This window comes from Homo sapiens, chromosome 12 (assembly GCF_000001405.40).
Source record: "Homo sapiens chromosome 12, GRCh38.p14 Primary Assembly".
NCBI classification, from domain to species: domain Eukaryota; kingdom Metazoa; phylum Chordata; class Mammalia; order Primates; family Hominidae; genus Homo; species Homo sapiens.
In genome coordinates this window covers 103,174,956-103,193,800 of record NC_000012.12, presented here as the reverse complement: position 1 = coordinate 103,193,800, position 18,845 = coordinate 103,174,956, and the positions used below count along the sequence as shown (strand labels likewise).

Below are 18,845 nucleotides of genomic sequence, written 5' to 3'. Positions count from 1 at the left end.
TAGTTTAAAAGTGATTGGTATTAATTCTTTTTTAAAAAATCTTTGGTAGAATTCACCTGTAAAGCCTTCTGGTCCTTGGCTTTTCTTTATTGGAAGGTTTTCGATTACTGATGCAATCTCTTTTGTTTTTGGCCTATTCAGTCTTTCTATTTCTTCTTGTTTCAGTCTTCTTAGATTGTACGTTTCTAGGAATTTATACATTTCTTATAGATTGTTCATTTTGTTGGTGTATAATTGTTCATAATTCCTTTTAATCTTTTTTATTTCTGTGGAACTTGTAGTGTCCCCTTTTTAATTTCATATTTCATTTAATTGCTTCTTTTTCTTGTTGATTTTGCTTATCTTTTTGAGGGAAGAACTCAGTTTTATAATTTTTTCCTTTTTTTATCCTTTATTTATTTCTGCCTTGACATTTATTATTTTTTTTTCTGTTAACTTAGAGCTTAGTTTTTTCTTCTTTTTTCTAGTGCCTTGAGGTAAACTATGAGATTGTTTAAATATTTCAGAGTTTCTCTCTTTTTTTTAAATATAGGTGCTTATCACTATAAATTTTCTCTTAATATTGCTTTTGCTGTATCCCATAGTTTTGGTATGTTGTTTTTATTTTTGTTCGTCTGAAGATATTTTCTAATTTTTTAAATTTATTCTTTGACCCATTGGTTATTGATGAATGTGTTGGTGAATTTTCACATATTTGTGAGTTTTTCCTTTTCATTTTTTATTCATATTTAGTTTTATTCCATTTTGGTTGGGAAAGATACTTATGGAATAATTTCAATCTTTTAAAATTTGTTAAGATTTGTTTTGTGTTCTAGCATGTGATCTGTCCTGGAGAATGTTCCATATGTGCTTGAGAAGAAGGTATATTTTCTGCTGTTGAGTGGAATGTTCTGTATATAATTGTTAGGTTCATTTGCTCTACAGTGTAGTTTAAGTCAGCCTCCCTTGTTGATTTTCTGTCTGGATGATCTGTCCATTATTTCAAGGGGGATATTGAAGTCTTTTGCTATTATTGTATTGCTGTCTATTTCTCCCTTCAGATATATCAATCTTCGCTTTCCGTACTTAGGTGCTCTGATGCTGGATAAAAATATATTGATAGTTTTATCCTCCTTTAGAATTGACCTTTTTATCATTATGTAATGACCTATTTTGTCTCTTGTGACAGTTTTTGACTCAAAGTCTATCTTATCTCATGTTACTATAGCACCTATTCTCTCTTTTGGTTACCATTTGCATGGAATATCTTTTTCCACCCTTCACTTTCAGCCTATGTGTATTCTTTTTTTTTTTTTTTTGAGATGGAGTCTCGCTCTGTTACCAGGCTGGAGTGCAGTTGCATGGTCTTGGCTTAGCTGCAACCTCTGCCTCCCAGGTTCAAGCGATTCTCCTGCCTCAGCCTCCTGAGTGGCTGGGACTACAGGCACACTCCACCACACCCAGCTAATTTATGTATTTTTAGTAGAGAGGGGGTTTCACCATGTTGGCCAGGATGGTCTTGATCTCTTGACCTCATGATCGGCCCACCTCAGTCTCCCAAAGTTCTGGGATTACAGACATGAGCCCTATGTGTATTCTTAAATCTAAAGTTGGTTTCTTGTTGGTGGCATATAATTGGATCTTTTTTTAAATCCAATCTACTAGTCTGTTATTTAATTATTGATGTAACTATTAATAGCTACTTACTATTGTTATTTTCTTTGTTGTTTTTGTCTGTTTGTGTTCTTTTGTTCCTCCTTTCCTCTCCTGCTGTCTTACTTTATCATTTGATGATTTTTTGTAGCAATATATTGTATACTATAGAATTTTTGTTTGTGGTTTTAGTGAGGTTTGTATAATACTTTTTATTGCTATAACAGTCTACTTTGAACTGAGAAAACTTTGTGTGGCTGTACATAAATTCAGTCACATACAAAAACTCAAACTTTTGCTCCCTCCACACACACTTGGTGTTATTGATGTCACAATTAGTTTTATATTGTATATCCATTTATTAACCAATTTTTATGGTTATAGCTCTTAATATTTTCTTTTCTTTTCTTTTTTTTTTTTTTTTTAGACACAGAGTCCCACTCTGTTGCACAAGCTGGGGTACAGTGGTGCAATCTCAGCTCACTGCAGAGTCTGGACCTCCTGGTCTCTAGTAATCCTCCTGGCTCAGCCTCCCAAGTAGCTGGGAACACAAACATGGGCCACCATACCCAGATAATTTTTTTCTCTTTTGTATTTTTTTTTTTTTTTTTTTTTTTTTTTTTTTGTAGAGTGGAGGTTTCACCATGTTGCCCAGCTGGTCTTGAGCTCCTGAACTCAAGTAATCTGCCTGACCCAGCATCCCAAAGTATTGGGATTACAGGCATGAGCCACTGCACCCAGCCTGTCTTTTAATTTTTATACTAAGGTTAAAAGTGGTTCATGCACCACCATTACAGTATTACATGATTTTGTATTTGTTTATATGTTTAGCTTAACTATGAGATTTATACCTTCACAAGCTTTTGTGTTGCTGTTTAGTGTCATTTTGTTTCAATTTGAAAAACTGTATTTGACACTTCTTTTGTAAAGCAGATCTAGTGATGATGGACTCTGTTTTGGTTTTCTGAGAAACCTTTTTTCTTTATTTATTTTTAGAAAACAGTTTTCTTGGTATAGTTTTCTTTGTTGGCAGGTTCCTCTCCCTCCAACAGAACTGTGAATATACGCAAACTACTCTTTTCTGTCCTGCAAGTTTTCTACTGAGAAATCTACTGATAGTCTTATGAAGACTCCAGTATATGTAAAAATTCACTTTTCTCCTGTTGATTTTAAAATTACCTTTGTCTTTGACATTTGAAAACTTATAATGTTTTCTCAGTGTAGATCTCTTTAGGTTTAATCTATTCAAGGTCCTTTGTGTTTCATGAATTTGGATGTTTATTTTCTTCCTCATATTTGGGAAGTTTATGGCCATTATTTCTTTGAATAAACTTTCTGCCATTTTCTTTTCTCTTCTCTTTCTGAGAATTCCATAATATGTACATTGGTTTACTCGATGGTGTCACATAACTCCCACAGGCTTTCTTCATTCATTTTCATTCATTTTTCTCTTTTTGTTCCTCTGACTGAATAATTTCAAATGAACTGTCTTTGAGCTCTTTTATTCTTTCTTCTCTTTGACTGAATCTGCTATTGAAGCCCTATATGGCATTTTTCAGTTTAGTTATTGCATTCTTTAGCTCCAGAATTTGTTTTGTTCTTTTTTATGATTTCTATCTATCCTCAGCATTCTTTGTAGGCTTGGATTGATATATGTCCATTTGAAGAAGTATATCATAGTCAATATTAGATGTCAACTTGACTGGATTGAGGGATGCCTTGATGGCTGGTGAAGCCTTGTTTCTGAGTGTGTCAGTGGAGATGTTGTGAGGGGCTTATTTGACTCAGTGGGCTGGGAGAGGAAGGCCTACCCTCACTGTGAGTAGGCACCATCCAATCAGCAGCCAGTGAAGCTAGAACAAAGCAGGCAGAAGAAGGGGGATAAGCAGCTTGCTGAGTCTTCTCACTCTCTCTTTCTTCCCATGACAGACACTTTGCTTCTTCTCCTCCTGCCCTTGGACATTAGACTCCAGGGGTTGCCCAGAGGCTCTCAGGCCCTTGGCCTCAGACTGAGGTCTGCACTATCTGCTTCTCTAGTTTTGAGGCTTTTGGATTTGGACTGAGTCACACTACCAGCTTCTCTTTTGCCCCAATTTGCAGACTCCTATGATGGGACATTGCCTTGTAATTGTGTGAGCCAATTCTCCCAAATAAACTCTCCCTCTCCTCTGTGTGTGTGTGTGTATATATATATATACACATGTATATCCAATTGTTCTGTCCCTCTGGAAAACCCAGACTAGTACAAAGTAGTTACCTCTTTCCATTCACACTGGACCTTGATAAAGAAAATGCTTCTCAACTCAGTCTGGCCAAATATTTTTAGTAAGTTGGCTGGCTAGGATTGTGGGTGGCCCTGCTGCTGAAGTCCATAGGCAGGCAGGTCTGATGCCTGGGTCTGTGGGTAGGAAAGCCTGTTGCCCAGGCAAATTGTTGTGGTTCCACTGGGGTGGGCCTGGTGCCTGGGTTTGTGGGTGCAGGCATGAAGCCTGAGTTCTCAGGAAGTTGGATGTTCATTTTACCTACTTTTTCCCACTAGAGCTCCTAGGAGGAAGATGTCTCTCTCAGGCCTACCCCAGGCCTACACTATGCAGATTTGGGGAATGGGTGATGTGAATGGAGTTAAACTGTCCTTCCTACACTCTTCAATGTTCTTTTCTTGTTTTTGTGTCCCATTTGGAAGCTGTGATCTGTCACTTGGATTTTGGAGATCTTGTGAAGGTATTTACATGCATGGGTGTTGTTAAATCAGCTCACATTTCCTTGAGGAGAGCTAGAATCTCTATCCTGCTGACATCTCCCAATAATGTCTCTTTTATGAAAGCCCATGAGAGAAATTTCTCTCCAGTTCCTGTTTCTAGGAATACTTGCTCTCCTTAAAGCATCTGGCTTGTTTTATTCTACAGACACTCTGAACCCTCAAAATAACTTCATATTTCTGTCTTTGTACTGACTGCTAAAAAGCTCAGACCCAAATCAGTGGTCTACCTGAAGCAAGTAGATGCATTTTGTGTGTTAATCCCAGCCTTGTTTTTGTCTCATGTTTTTAATTTTTCTTTTGATATTTGTTTCCATTAGGAGTCGTTTCTTTTGTAAGTCACATAAAACTCAACTAAACCTATCTTAACCAATTAAACAAATAGGAAAATCCAGAAGGAATTCTCAAATGCTAAAGTGATATTAACACACTCAGTTTTATACTCAGCTCTGTTGTTTTCCATGAAGCAGCTACATTTTAAGACTGACTTCTTTCATATTAGCCATATTTTGTTGCTATAAAGGATTACTGGAGACTGGGTAATTTGCAAAGAAAAGAGGTTTATTTTGGCTCACAGTTTTGTAGGCATAAAGATTTTTCAGGAATCGTGGTGCTGACACCACATCTGATGAAGCTTTCAGAAAGCTTACAATCATGGCAGAAGGCAAAGGAAGAGCCAGAGTATCATATGACAAGAGAGGAAGCAAGAGAGAGGTGGGGAGGTGCCAGCTTCTTTAAGCAATCAATTCTCATGTGAACTACCAGAGCAAGAACTCACCCCTTACATTGTGGATATCACCAAGCCATTCATAAGGGATCCACCCCCATGGCCCAAACACCTCCCACTAGGCCCTTCTCCAACACTGGAGGTCATATTTCAACATGAGATTTGGAGAGGAAAAATATCCAAACCATATCGCATAGTATCAAAATGGCTTCTGTGGTTCCAATCCTCACATCACATCACCAATAAATCAAGTGAAAGAAAAGACAACAAATATGGTGCAGTGTATACTGTTCAGGTGATAGGTGCACCAGGTTCTCACAAATCTCCACCGAAGAACTCACTCATGTAACCAAATACCACCTGTACCCCAATAAACTTATGGAAAAATAAAATTAAAAAAGAAAGAAAGAAAGAAACATGTTAGACATTGCCAAAAAAATAAAAAGGAATCAAGTGAAAGAAAGAAACATTATCTTTTCCCAAAACTCTGGGAATTGTCTCCTTTTTTCTCCTTGGATCTATTCAGGTGAACTGCTCATTTCTGAACTAGTACAGTAGAAACACTGCTTGCCATAAGCCACACAGAGCCCAGCTCTGAAGCTGAAGATGAGATTGAACCCACCCAAGACACATAAATGAGAGAGGGAGATTTCAAAGGAAATTCAGAGTACTCTTACCAGAAGGAGAGAAATTGAGGTAGCAAGCAGTACACATTTACTATTCTGTTTCCCTGCCTGCCTATTTTTTAAAACTTGGTATAATTGTATGTAGTTTTGTAAGCCTCCTTAAATCCTCTTTTTGTAAGGAGTCAAGGCACACACAAATAAATGATAAGTTATGTGGTGACCAGTGCCATTAAAGGTGTAGCTAGCAAGTGCTACAGAAATAAGAGGAAAGGTGAATTGTCTTACCCAAAACTTTATTCCATGGCAAATCTTGATGCAGCTGCTGCTCAGAAAATGACAACAATTCCAGCCTTTTTTTTAACTTAGGACATTATTACCTTCCAAGAATTGCCCAAGTATAGATAACAGAGATACTTAAATGCCAATTATTATTCAGCCTTTCTTCAACTATTTTCCTCATTCTCATTGATATGAAAAGACCATACATTGGCAAAACAAAAGTATATGTTTTAAAGGGGCAAAGAGATCTTTACTTGCCATGATCATGTCTTCCTATCAAGAATGGAGTCTATAGCATGACCTCAGTGGTCATCCCATCTGCCCTTTCTGAGATACAGCTTAGCTTGGTAGTAAAAGTTGGCTTCTAGGGCCAGACAGCCTGTATTTGAATCCTATCTGCATTAATCATTAATGTTGTGACTATGGGAAAGTTCCCTAATGTCTCTGTGTTTCAGTTTTTTTTTATTCTGTAAGGCAGTTAATTGTACTTATTCCATGGAAGCTTTATGAGGATTAAATGAGTTAATCTGTAAAACTGATCTGTAAGATGCACTTAAAATAGTGTGTGGCCCTTGGTAAACATTATATAAATAGTATTATTCCTTATCTTGCTAAGGCAAAACAAATCATTCTTGCCCATTTTGAGTTCCCTCCCTCCAAGAGAATGAGTCTAGTATTCAGAGCTAACCCTAAGAAAAACAAAAAGTCAGGAAAACCTGACTAGAGACTTCTTCCAGGATTTGATGGTATAGTATGTAATGTTTTATTGTGCTTTTGTGAGTTAGAGTAAATTTTTTTGGAACAAAGCATAATCTGAAATACAAATGAACAAATGAGAGAAGTAGTGAGTACCATCAAAGTAAGGTGGAAAGGGCAGAAAACAGGGTTCTCAGCTACATTTCTCTCTTTGGCTTTAGTTTCCTTTCCTGTTATATTAGGGGAAAAATAGGATGCATCTTTCCTACATCTTATAATAATAATGAGGAGTAGACTGGTGGAAGATAATTCTGGAGCCCAAGGCCACTGGGTTCCAGGTGTGTCACCTCAAGAGCTTACATCCCACTTGAACCTTGTATTTTAAGAGATTGTATCCCTCACATACATCCATTAATTCATGATTTTTCATGAAATTTTTATGTTTCAAATTAATCAATCACATCCATAGTAGCCAATTAAAAAAACAATCAACAAGAGTCTCTAGTGTCCTTATGATGAGATAATAAAGTTTCTGCCAAGAGCAAATGATTTATGCCATTTTGATTAGACAGTGTACCATTTCTTAGGCTTTTAAACATAATGAAAAATCACTTTTGAACGCATGTCAGCTCAAATTTTAAGTGCGTGGATGAAAGGCAAGAACTCTAAATTCTTATCCTCTTACATACCACCATCACTGAAAATTTATGAGGAAGATTAACAGAAGGAATACTCCTGGAAAACTGTTTTTACTATTAGCTACAATTTGGTGTCATACTACAAGACAGTCTTTGAGTAAGCTGGATGAACTTTATGGAACCCTACGAACTTCTTTCCCAAGTTGATAGATAGTCCTAAAAGCCTATAGCCATGAAAACAGACCTGGTAGCTTTCTTGACCTAGTTCCACAGTCTATATCCTACTCTCTTCTGTCAAGAGATGGTAACTATAACAAAAGGTGGAAGTATTAATAACTTCTTTTGTATGTCCAGAGCTGTAATTATAAACCTACCATGCCCTAAGACTCATTTCACATGGGTCCCACTCTGGACCAACTTAGTTTCTTAAGGAAGGGAGCAGTTGAGGATGGCCAAATAGAAGGTTTTGGCCATTTTACCACACAAGGACTTGAAAGACTGTTTCTCAAGGGACATGTTGTATTAGTACATTTTCATGCTGCTGATAAAGACATACCCGAAACTGGAAAGAAAAAGAGGTTTAATTAGACTTACAGTTCCACATGGCTTGAGGAGGCCTCAGAATCACGGCGGGAGGTGAAAGGCACTTCTTACATGGGGGCAGCAAGAGCAAAATGCAGAAGATGCAAAAGCAGAAACCCCTGACGAAACCATCAGATCTCATGAGAATTATTCACTACCACAAGAACAGTATTGGGGAAACCACCCCCATGATTCAAATTCTCTCCCACCAGGTCCCTCCCACAATATGTGGGAATTATAGGAGTATAATTCAAGATGAGATCTGGGTGGGAACATAGAGTCAAACCATATCACATGTCAAAGAGACTGAGATTTCCAAGAGCCTGGCAGGAGAAAAAAGAAGGAAAGAAGGAAAGAGGGAAGGAATAAGGAAGGAAGGAAGGAAGGAAGGGAAAAAGAAGGAAGGGTCTGTAGTAGATATTGTTGATGCTTACCCATATGCCAATGGTCCACACCTAAGTTCACCTGCAACTACAGTGGACGATGAGTGATCAAGCACAATCATAACTTCCTACCTGAAGTACCTGTGACTCTTTGCTTATCTGCTGAAGAGCTTTCTCCAACACCATGGAAGCTAGCTTAGCCCAAGCACAGGTAGTCCAGAAATGTCAGGAATTTAACACTTTATCTAGGAGTCGCCCTTAGCCAATGAGGGACAGAAGAATCCAAGAGTAAATCCTAAATGTCTACAATAGAAAACCTCTTATGAATGCACTCTTTATTGCTTTTTCTCCCTGCTCAACTCATTTATCCCATACCCTTAGTTACTGTATTAGTTTTTTTAGGGCTACCATAAGAAAATACTACAGATTGGGTGGCTTTGACAACAGAAAATTATTTTCTTATCATTTTGGAAGGTGAAAATCTAAGATCAAGGTGTTAGTGGGTTTAGTTTCTTCTGAAGCCACTCTCCTTGGCTTGCAGATGGCTTCTTTATTGCTATGCCTTCATATGGTCTTTCCTCTGTGCATTCACCTGTCTACATCCTAATCATCTCTCCTTACAAAGACAATAGTCATATTAGGCTAAGGATCACTTATATGACCTCATTTTTTCTTAGTTACCTTTTTAAAGACCCTATCTTTAAATATAGTCACATGCTGAGTTACTGGGGGTGAGAACTTTAACATATATATTTGGGGGGGGGGGGGTGACAATTCAGCCTATAGTACTTATGTTTTGTGTAATCATCTGCCCCCATGTCTTTGACTTGGGGTCTTCCTAAACTAGAAGAGAAACCAAGAAAGAATCTACCACAGAATTTTCTTTGTTTCTCATATACAGAGCACTACATAGCCATTCCCCACCCTCATCTATAGCTTTCAGTTCAATTCCCTCTTCTCTGATATCCTTATCCCCAATTTTGTGCTTTCAAAAGGAAGTTTGACAATTATATGCTAGTTACAAAAATCTCATTTCAAACTCAATGACATAGGTAGGTTAAAATTAAAAGGATGGAAAAAGATATACCATGAAAACATTAATTTACAAAATCACTAATTTACTATATTAACACCTGATAAAGTAGACTTTAAAGAAAATTACTAGAGACCAAGTGGGGCATTATATAATGATATAAAGGTTAGTCCATCAGGAAAACATAAAGATCTTAACAGGTATGCACCAAACAATAAAACCTCAAAAGATGTGAAGCAAAAATTGATAGAGCTGAAAGGAGATAGACTAATCCTGAATTATAGTTGAGGATGTCAACACACAGTGTCCCCAGAAACTGACAGAATTAATAGACAGAAAATAAGCTTGGTTATAGAAGCTCTAAACAACATAATCACCAATGTGAGACATTATATATTAGCAGTGGCAACATACACAGCTTTTTCCAAGCATCTATGGGACATTCCCAACCAAGACAGAACATATCATGGGACATAAGACAAACTTCAACAAATTAAACAAAAACTTGTAATATAGAGTATATACTATAACCATAATAGAGAGAAACTAGAAAACAAGGACACAAAGACAACAGGAAAATCTCTAAATAGTGATTATTAAAAATACATTTCTAAATAATCCATAGATCACAGAGGAAGACTCAAAGTAAGTAAAAAATATACATAGAGCTAAATAAAAACGAGTGTATAAAATGTGGAAACATGTGAGACATAGTTAAAGCAGTGCTGAGAAGAAAATTTGTAACACAAAAAGTTTACATTAGAAAAGAGGAAAAATCACAAATCAATAATCTTAGTTCCTGTTTCAAGAAACTAGTAAATAAAGGGAAAATCAAACCCAAAGAATGAAAGGAAATAATAAAGATAAGAGCAGAAACCAATAAAATAAAAAATGTAAGACAATAGAAACAATTAATGAAACCAAAAGCTGGTTATTCAAAAAAAAATGATACATTGATAAATATCTGGCAAGACTGACAAAATAAAAATAAAGATAAAATTCACCAGTCTCAGCAATAAAATAGAAAATCTCACTATAGGCTCTACATCTATTAAAAAGAGAGCAAGGGCTGGGCGTGGTGGCTCACGCCTGTAATCCCAGCACTTTGGGAGGCCAAGGCGGGTGGATCATGACATCAAGAGATCGAGACCACCCTGGCCAACATGGTGAAACCCCACCTCTACTAAAAATACAAAAATTAGCTGGACATGGTGGCATGTGCCTGTAGTTCCAGCTACTCAGGAGGCTGAGGCAGGAGAATCTGTTGAACCTGGGTGGCAGAGGTTTCAGTGAACTGAGAACGGGCCACTGTACTCCAGCCTGGCGACAGAGAAGAGATTCCGTCTTAAAATGAAATGAAATGAAATAGAGCAAGAGAATGCAATTAAACCAACTTTATACAAATTCTTTCACAAAATACAAGAGGAGTACAGTGATTATTATAAAAGGGCACCCTTGTAGTGATGGAATTGTTTCCTGACTATGATGGTAAATACTTGAAACTGCATATGTTATAAAATTAAATAGAACTAAATGCACAGACAGAAATAAGTATAAGTAGAATGAAAAATTTGAATAAGATCAGTGGATTGTATTAATATCTATGTCCTGGTTGTGATATCACATTGTTTTACAAAATGTTGCTATTGGGAGATATCAGCAGTAAGAAACAACAGTTTTTGCTTGACATATTTTGAGGTTCTGTTGGATAAAAGCTCTAGAGTGTTTTTTTGTATTATTTCTAACAACTTCTTTTAAACCTACAATTATCTCAATAAAAATTTATATGAAAAATAGAAATATAAGAGGAGAGAGTTGAGGGTAGGGTATTAGTAAAACCCCTAGTGGTTAGTGTGCCATGAACTAAACCTTTATTACCTTTATTAAGTAACTGTTTCTGACCCAATTCTTGCCTTAGGTTACCTGCTACTGAATGCAATGCTATCACATGGGTAGAACTGAGTAAACACTGTTCTCTTGACCTTACCATTCCTGCTCTGCTCCTCCTCTTTGCCATTTTCTTCAGAATTTACCTATTTCATATCTGTTTCTTTGCAGCTTTGCCCTGAGCTAGGATGGGTCAATCAGATAACTAATCCGTTCTCAGCTGGTAACTTCCAGATAACATAATGCCTTAACCTCATTTACAAGTCCCTTAAAAGACCAATAAATGCCATGGCTCTGGTATATATTTTATTTAAGAACACAAAATGGAAGTAAGAAGGAGGCTAATAAAAGCACACATAGTATTGAGTCCCTTCTACTTGCTATTGGGAGTGAGCAAGTCTGGTTTTTGCTTTTTTAGCAGCCTAAATTAAGAGAGGGGAATAAAGACCAGCCGTGTAATTCTCAGTGTCCATGAGTTAAAACAAAATAAAAACACGAGAAAAACCCTACGATTACTAATCACCTAACAGAAACAACCACCAGAAGAGTGGTCATTCTAATTACTAGGCAAAGTAATGACCACACTTAACATCATTCTTACAAGTGACATGGTGGCAAAATGAGAAGGAGTCTTTCATCCTAGGGAAATACAATATAAGCTTACGGCATTTCCCAAAGTCAGCCTAGCATTTTATTAAATGTGTCTTAGCTTTTCTCCCTACCTGTGAGACAGGGTAGGGGTAGAGGTGTAGATTATAGATGAGTGGATATCTTTCAGACAATCTCCATAAATGCTATTTCTCTGGTGAGTTTTTGATGGATATGGTGTAACTCTAGAGGTCAGGCAGTACCTGCTACAGAGTAGAATTTGTTGCGTGAATGAAGAAGATCATTCTGGTACTTTCACAGTTTACATAAAACTAACCTCGTTGGAGCTCCCATGAGAACTGATGTCTGCCAGTGGATTCAGATTAACTTCCCCTTTTCAGCTTACACAGGCTACTGGTGTTTCAAACTGAAACAAATGTAGCCATGTTACCAAAGCTACCTCCACCTCTGTCTTTCTTCTTTTTGTAGAGGGACATCTATTTTGTTGTTGTTGAGTAACCCATTTCAAAGTTTGGAAAGTGAGACCTAAGCTCCTAAGTTCCATTTATGGTATGCTTATGATTTTACAATGCTTCTTCTCTTGAAAATTTCTCATCCACCACTGGAATATTGCTTCCTAATTCAATCTCAGATCCTTGAATTTTTTTCATTTTTTATTTTTTTTAATTTTTACTTATTTATTTATTTTTTTAGATGGAGTCTTGCTCTGTCACCAGGCTGGTGTGCAGTAGCACATTCTTGGCTGACTGCAACCTCTGCCTCCTGGGTTCAAATGATTCTCCTGCCTCAGCCTCCCTAGTAGCTGGGACTACAGGTGTGTGCCACCATGCCCAGGTAATTTTTGTATTTTTAGTAGAGACGGGGTTTCACCATGTTGGCCAGGATGGTCTCAATCTCTCAACCTTGTGATCTGCCCACCTCAGCTTCCCAAAGTGCTGGGATTACAGGCGTGACCCACCGCACCCAACCCAGATCCTTGAATTTTTAAATTAGTTAGGTCAAAGTATAAAAAGCAAATTAGTGGGCTGGGCACGGTGGCTTATGCCTGTAATGCCAGCACTTTGGGAGGCTGAGGTAGGCGGATCACCTGAGGTCAGGAGTTCGAGACCAGCCTGGCCAACATGGAGAAACCCCATCTCTACTAAAAATACAAAATTAGCCGGGTGTGGTGGCACATGCCTGTAATCCCAGCTACTCGGGAGACTGAGGCAGGAGAATCGCTTGAACCCAGGAGGTGCAGTTTGTGGTGAGCCGAGATCACGCCATTGCACTCCAGCCTGGGCAACAAGAACAAAACTCCATCTCAAAAAAAAAAAAAAAAAAAAAAAAAAAAAAGGAAATTATTTTAAATGCAGATTCCTGGGCTCTACTCATATGGAATTCTCAATATCACAGAAGGTGTGAGTCCTGGAATCTGCATTTCAATAAACAGCAACCTGGAAGATCCTGACCCAAGAGAACTGTACTAAGCTATCCAGGGGCTTTTTCTCCAGTGCAAATATTGCTCCAAACTCCATGTTAGCCAACGAAGTCAACTCTCTTTGAGTTTGTAACAGCCAACAATAAAACCACAGATTTAAGTCATTGTTTTTCAATCTTTAGTTCGTTATTGCCATCCCAAGGATCATTTTCAGACATGTTTTTTTCCTACTTGCCACCTAATTTTCTCCCCTCCTCGCCATGAAATTGTAATAGCATTATAGATATATAGGTATGTGTTTGTGACCCTTTGAAGAGCCACAAACCATTGTAATATGTAAGAGCTTTTTGCTGACTCCTCCCACCAAAAGTAAATTTTCACCTTTTTTTTTTTTATTGAGGGAAATGTTGGCTTCATTGGGAAGGCATGGTTTAAATCATTGATTTTTGGAAGCTCACTCTACCTGTGTCTGACTGCCTCCTAAACTCTGTCCCACTGTCCCAGGAGGCACCAGAATTTGTCATGCTCCCTATTTACTTCTCCTCTCCTCCTTCACCTTCAGATCATTCTTCCTGGAGGCCCTCTCTTGGTCAACAGCACTGTCACCATCCTGTTGTCTAAACTAGAAATCTGGGAATTATCATAGCCTCTCCCTTTTCCTGATCCTGCTAATTTTGCCTGACATACATTTTACAAATCTGAATTTCTTCCTCAACTGCACCACCAAATCCGTCATTCTGAATTTTATTCTTTCTTCCCTGAATGGTTGTAATAGTCTGCTAACCATTCTCCCACAGCCTGTTTTCAAATCCATTTACATGAAGATATAACTAAATTTAGATCTGATCCCCTCATATTTCTAATTTGGCCTTTCAGTGGTTCCCTGTTGTCCTTGAGACAAAGTACAGATGCTTTAAAATGGTGGCTGGACTCTCCATGGTGCAATAATCCACTATTCTTTTTTCCCATCTCATCCCCTCTTTTTCTGTTCTCACATTTTATGCTCCAGGTCTACTGAACTGCTAATCCCACCATTTTATGCCTCTTTGCCTTTTCTTACATGGCTTCTTCTTCCAGAAATTTCTTTCTCACTTGGTTAATTGGTTTATTCCTCCATATTCTTCAAATCTCAGCCCATTCTTCACTGCCTTGAAAGGTCATTCCTGAAAGTCCCAGGTTATGCTAAAAGTCTCCTTCCCAATAGCCACAAACCACTCTGGGTTTCTTTTCATGACATTACTTTAAAACATGTCTGTCTCCCACAAAATCTCAAACTTCTTGATAGCAACAATCACCTCTTTTTATCTTTCTATCTCCAGAATCTAGCAGAGTGCTTGGCTCATGACAGATGTTCAATAAAAATGTTCACTGAAGTAAACTGAAACACCCTTCTCAAGTTTGGGGTATGAATTAGTATTAAAATAGGCCCCAAAAAGCAGGTGCCTAGAAAGAAAATAGAAAGAAAGCACAGGCCTTGATTATCCACCCATGGGGTAATTACTTCTAAATAATTCAGATTGAAGCAGAGTTGTTCCTGAAAGATGCCAAAACAACTGGTCAGTTCATTGGAAAAGTCAGCCAGTTGGCATCATGGAGATCAAAACACTCGGCGAGTCATTTCACAGGACTTGTGACTTTCCAGCAGGTGTCTATGCAGGCTGTGATGGAAGAAGTTACTGACCACTCTTTGTTTATTTCTACTTTCTCTTCCTCCTACCCTCTCACATCCCTCACAGTTTATGCTGGTTTTTAAACACATACTTGAAAATATAAACATTGAAAAACATCCATATATGAGCAGGCTTCTCAAAATGCCTAGAGAACAAATATTGTCCACATGGAAAATCCCACATATGAAAAGGCAAGTTTAACCACGTTGCTCTAAAGCACTAGCCCCTTTCAGGTTTCGGACACGTGGCCTCTCTGGCTGAATGGACAGAAAGTCTGAATGTGTAAGAGCAGCTCAAAACAACAACCACCCAAACAAGACAGCCATTCTCGCTCCTCTCAGACCACTGCTCCGAGAGGCTTGCTCTCCGACGGGTCCTACATGCTAAATAACTCCTATTCTTAGTTCACGTTGACTTGGTGGCTCGAGCCAGGTGAAAAGACAATTGACCCAAACAGCCAAACCGAACTCGAAACTTCACTAACGAGGCAGCTTATTTTCTAATCCCAGTCAGCATTGTAGGGCACCGAGTGAGTGCCACTTTCTAAAAATGTGTCTTTTATGCAAAAGAAAAAAATTATTAAAAGAAGTTGGGGGTGGGTAGAAAAGGAGCCCTTTAATGGACTGTTTTATACTTTTGTTGTGTGGTGTGCTTTCTTGCAGGCGACTTCTTGGCAGATACTGCATCTTCAGCCAGGAGAAGTTGGCTTAGTACAAAAGGGCTTTTGAAGCGGTGAGTGTAAATTCAGGCTCCTTTTCTTTCTTCCTTCCTTCCTTTCTTCGCCGTCGCTCTTCTCCTGTGTCTGGAGACCACTAAGAAATAATAAGCACCATTGCTTGCAGCACACGTTCCATGAATTACTCAAACATCAAATGTAACTTTAGAAAGGAAACACGCTTTATTCTTTTCTGCAAAACTTTCCCTATCCATTCTTTATTTACATGTTGTCGTGAGGCTAAGAGATGCACTGCTGTTAGCGCGCGCGCACACACACACACACACAAACACACACACACGGCCATTAAACAAATTAAAAGGGATGAGGATGACTAATACAGTACTCTTGGAATCCCCAATTTGATTAGTCTGAGTTTAATACACAAAAGCAGCATCGGAGAAGGAGGAGAGGCAAACTGCTATTTAATAACCTGTACAATTAAATTATGTGATGAATTTAACTATTCTGTACTTCTTAAAGGAGTCTTATTATCTGATTTCTTGTAAAAGAAAGTCAGTTTTTCAGCAGAGTTTCTGGCCGTGCCCCTGGAAGGCCCATAGTGGCAGTTCTATGCTTTCACAATGATTTCTTTCCCCCATATAGAACGGCTTTTCTGTTTCTCAAGCTTTGTCTCAAAAAATTATTCAAGCAGTTTTAGTTCCTTGGGGTCCCTTACATTTCTTTAGCTCTTTGGAAACCTGGAGTCAGAAAGGGTAGTGCAGTGGCTAGGGAATAGTTCTCTCTTTGGTAGCTCTAGGTAGATACTTAGGGGTAACTTTTGGTCAAAGGCCTTTACATAGTTTAGATTGTGGAGAGCATTTTGTTCTTACTTTATGGAGGCTCATCTTGCCTTAAAAATTTAGTCACATCACTGAACATCCAAGGGCCATTGTGTCAGAAGCTGAGATGGTGTGGCTTGATTTTCTAGGGATCAGGCCGTCTTATTTGTTTTCCTCTTGGGAGTCATCATTCTATCATAAAGCAGGGTGTGGATATCCTTCCAATAGAATTTTTTTTTTTCCATTTGCCTTTACTTAACAGTTATAGTTCAGGCAAGTGCTATCCTAACAGAAGAATACTCTGCAATTCAGGATACAGTCTCATATCTCATAAACTGTTGAATAATGAATTAAAATGGAGCAAGGGTCACAGAAAGTTTGAGGAGAATTTTTTTTTTTATGGCTGGCTTCAAACATAGCTTCTATTAGACCTCAGTTCCTTTTGGAAAATCAGGTCTACCTGTTTCCACTAAAATGTAAGTGATGAATAATAACTACTCACGGGGACATAATTTTCAACTACAAATGGTCGTGGTGTCTTATTGGCACCTAAGTTCTGAGAGAGTCCCATATGATTTTCCTATGTGGTTGCCAGATTGGACTTTGTTTTGAGGTAGTACAGCATGAAGATGAAGAGCACAGATCCTAGAGCCAGACAGCCTACCTTCAAATCCTGGTCCTGCCATGACTATCTTCAGGACCTCACCCATGAGGTGAAACTCTCTGTGCCTCAGTTTCCTTATTGCAAAATGGGGATAATAGTGATACCACAAAAGATTGTTATGAGAGTTAAATGACACATATAATACCACAGAATGGGACCAGAAAATTAGAAATTGGGCCAGAAAATTGGGACTCCATTCATTATTGAACATTTACCAGTGTGCCAGGAACTCCGATAAACCCTTATGTGCATTATTATCTCATTTATACAAGAAACCTAAAATGTAGTTGCTGTTTTCTCTGTTATAAATATGAGAAGTTGAGGCATAGAGAGACTCAGCTGCCTGCCTTAAGGTCACAGGGATAGAAAGTGGTAACTCAAAGAATTAGGACTATAAATGTGGGAAGTCTGACTCTAAAACACATGTATTCAGACATTTTTATACGATGTATGTTTGAGAATATTTTCCTGGTCCCCAAGAGTGTCTAATCCAATCAGGGACAGAATAGCAATTCCCTTTTGTTTTTTTAATAGTGGTGGGATGAGATGCAAACAATTAGCCGGTAAGCAATTCCAAGGAGTAGTATTGAACTGGGGGGAGGTGGGATATGGCATGGCGGGAAGAAGCAGAATAAGAGAAGTGCCACATGGTTGATGAAGCCTGCAGGACAACAGGGCTCTGGCATATGGAGCAGCAGCAAGCAATTTCAGTGGTCTCGATGGAGGATCAGTGTCCAGTGTCCAGCATCCAGTGTGCTGATCTAAGGAGGTCAAAGCTTAATCATGGGGAAATGTGCCAGCTGTAGTTATCCTGGCTGCTTTGTCCTCCCTTTCATCTCAGTATGTACTTATTAATTGGCTGATTTAATCATCCACTTGGTTTGGGTCATGGTGCCCGGTCACCTTGCCAGAGATCAGCATTAAGAAAATATTCCAGGGCAGAGTCAACTGATAAATGCTGCCTCTCTCTCATTGTCATATACCCAAATACAGCCTGAAGAGTTGTGCAATGCTTTGTTAGATTTCTCACTATTTTCGTAATCCATCTGGAGAGGTTGAAAGTGGAGTGTAATAGAAAATTATTCCATTTTTTTTCCCTTTGGATTCTAAAACTTGGTGGATCCCTGAACTTCACGCCACTCTTTTTGGCAGTCGAGGCCACATAAGCTCCTTGGGCTTTATTTTCACTGTGGTGAAGATGAGCGCCCAATTTTTAGGGCATATGCATTTTAAAACTTCTAGCTCGCCAACTCTTGGCTAGGATGAGCTTTGCAACATTTTCTTGTTCAACTGTCCTTTCATTGTGGTTTATTAGATACAATGTTGAATAGTAGGTTTGTCCGTGAATGGATTTTGTTTTTACTTTGTATTTATAACTTGGGATCAGAGTGACTTTGCATTTTGTCCCACCACTATTAAAAAAACAAAAGGGACTTTTTAGAGATTATATATAGAATACAGTCTGGTCTGCCATTTTATTCTTGAATAAAACTGGTTATAGATTCTCATGCCATAGGACATATTTCTCTTTACTCCATAATAAGATTAAAGTGTGCCTTTGATTACCTATTAGGGTAATTACCTATTAGGAGACAATATCCTATAGCATATAATATCCTTGCATTTTGAGCAAATAGAAATTATAATGCATCTAAATTGGTTGGATATCAGTAATTAGTATTTTTATTTGTGCTACTGATTTGTCAAATGGTAATCAGAATAATTTCATACATTAGCATATGTG

The 18,845-nt window shown here is 38.2% G+C and overlaps 1 protein-coding gene across 3 annotated transcripts in view, besides 2 other annotated features; it reads left to right on the top strand.

Annotated features, from left to right (window-relative positions):
• C12orf42 (chromosome 12 open reading frame 42) overlaps positions 1 to 18,845 on the top strand; it is a 516,167-nt gene that overhangs the window by 369,990 nt on the left and 127,332 nt on the right. For all 3 annotated transcript variants that reach the window (XR_001748690.2, NR_170336.1, NM_001386867.1), the window contains one exon: positions 15,603 to 15,672. Coding sequence is in view for 1 of the 3 variants with exons in the window: in NM_001386867.1 (NP_001373796.1) it covers positions 15,603 to 15,651 (49 nt within the window). In the remaining 2 variants the exon portion in view is untranslated. The remainder of the gene's footprint in view (positions 1 to 15,602; positions 15,673 to 18,845) is intronic.
• Positions 11,923 to 12,052: an enhancer, noted in NCBI's record as "active region_6890". NCBI's record gives its function as "activates an Ori minimal core promoter by ATAC-STARR-seq in GM12878 lymphoblastoid cells {active_cell/tissue: GM12878}" and the evidence as "EXISTENCE:reporter gene assay evidence [ECO:0000049][PMID:35858748]".
• Positions 14,181 to 16,597: an enhancer, noted in NCBI's record as "VISTA enhancer hs1575". NCBI's record gives its function as "enhancer in: midbrain (mesencephalon)[4/7]" and the evidence as "EXISTENCE:transgenic organism evidence [ECO:0001131][PMID:17130149]".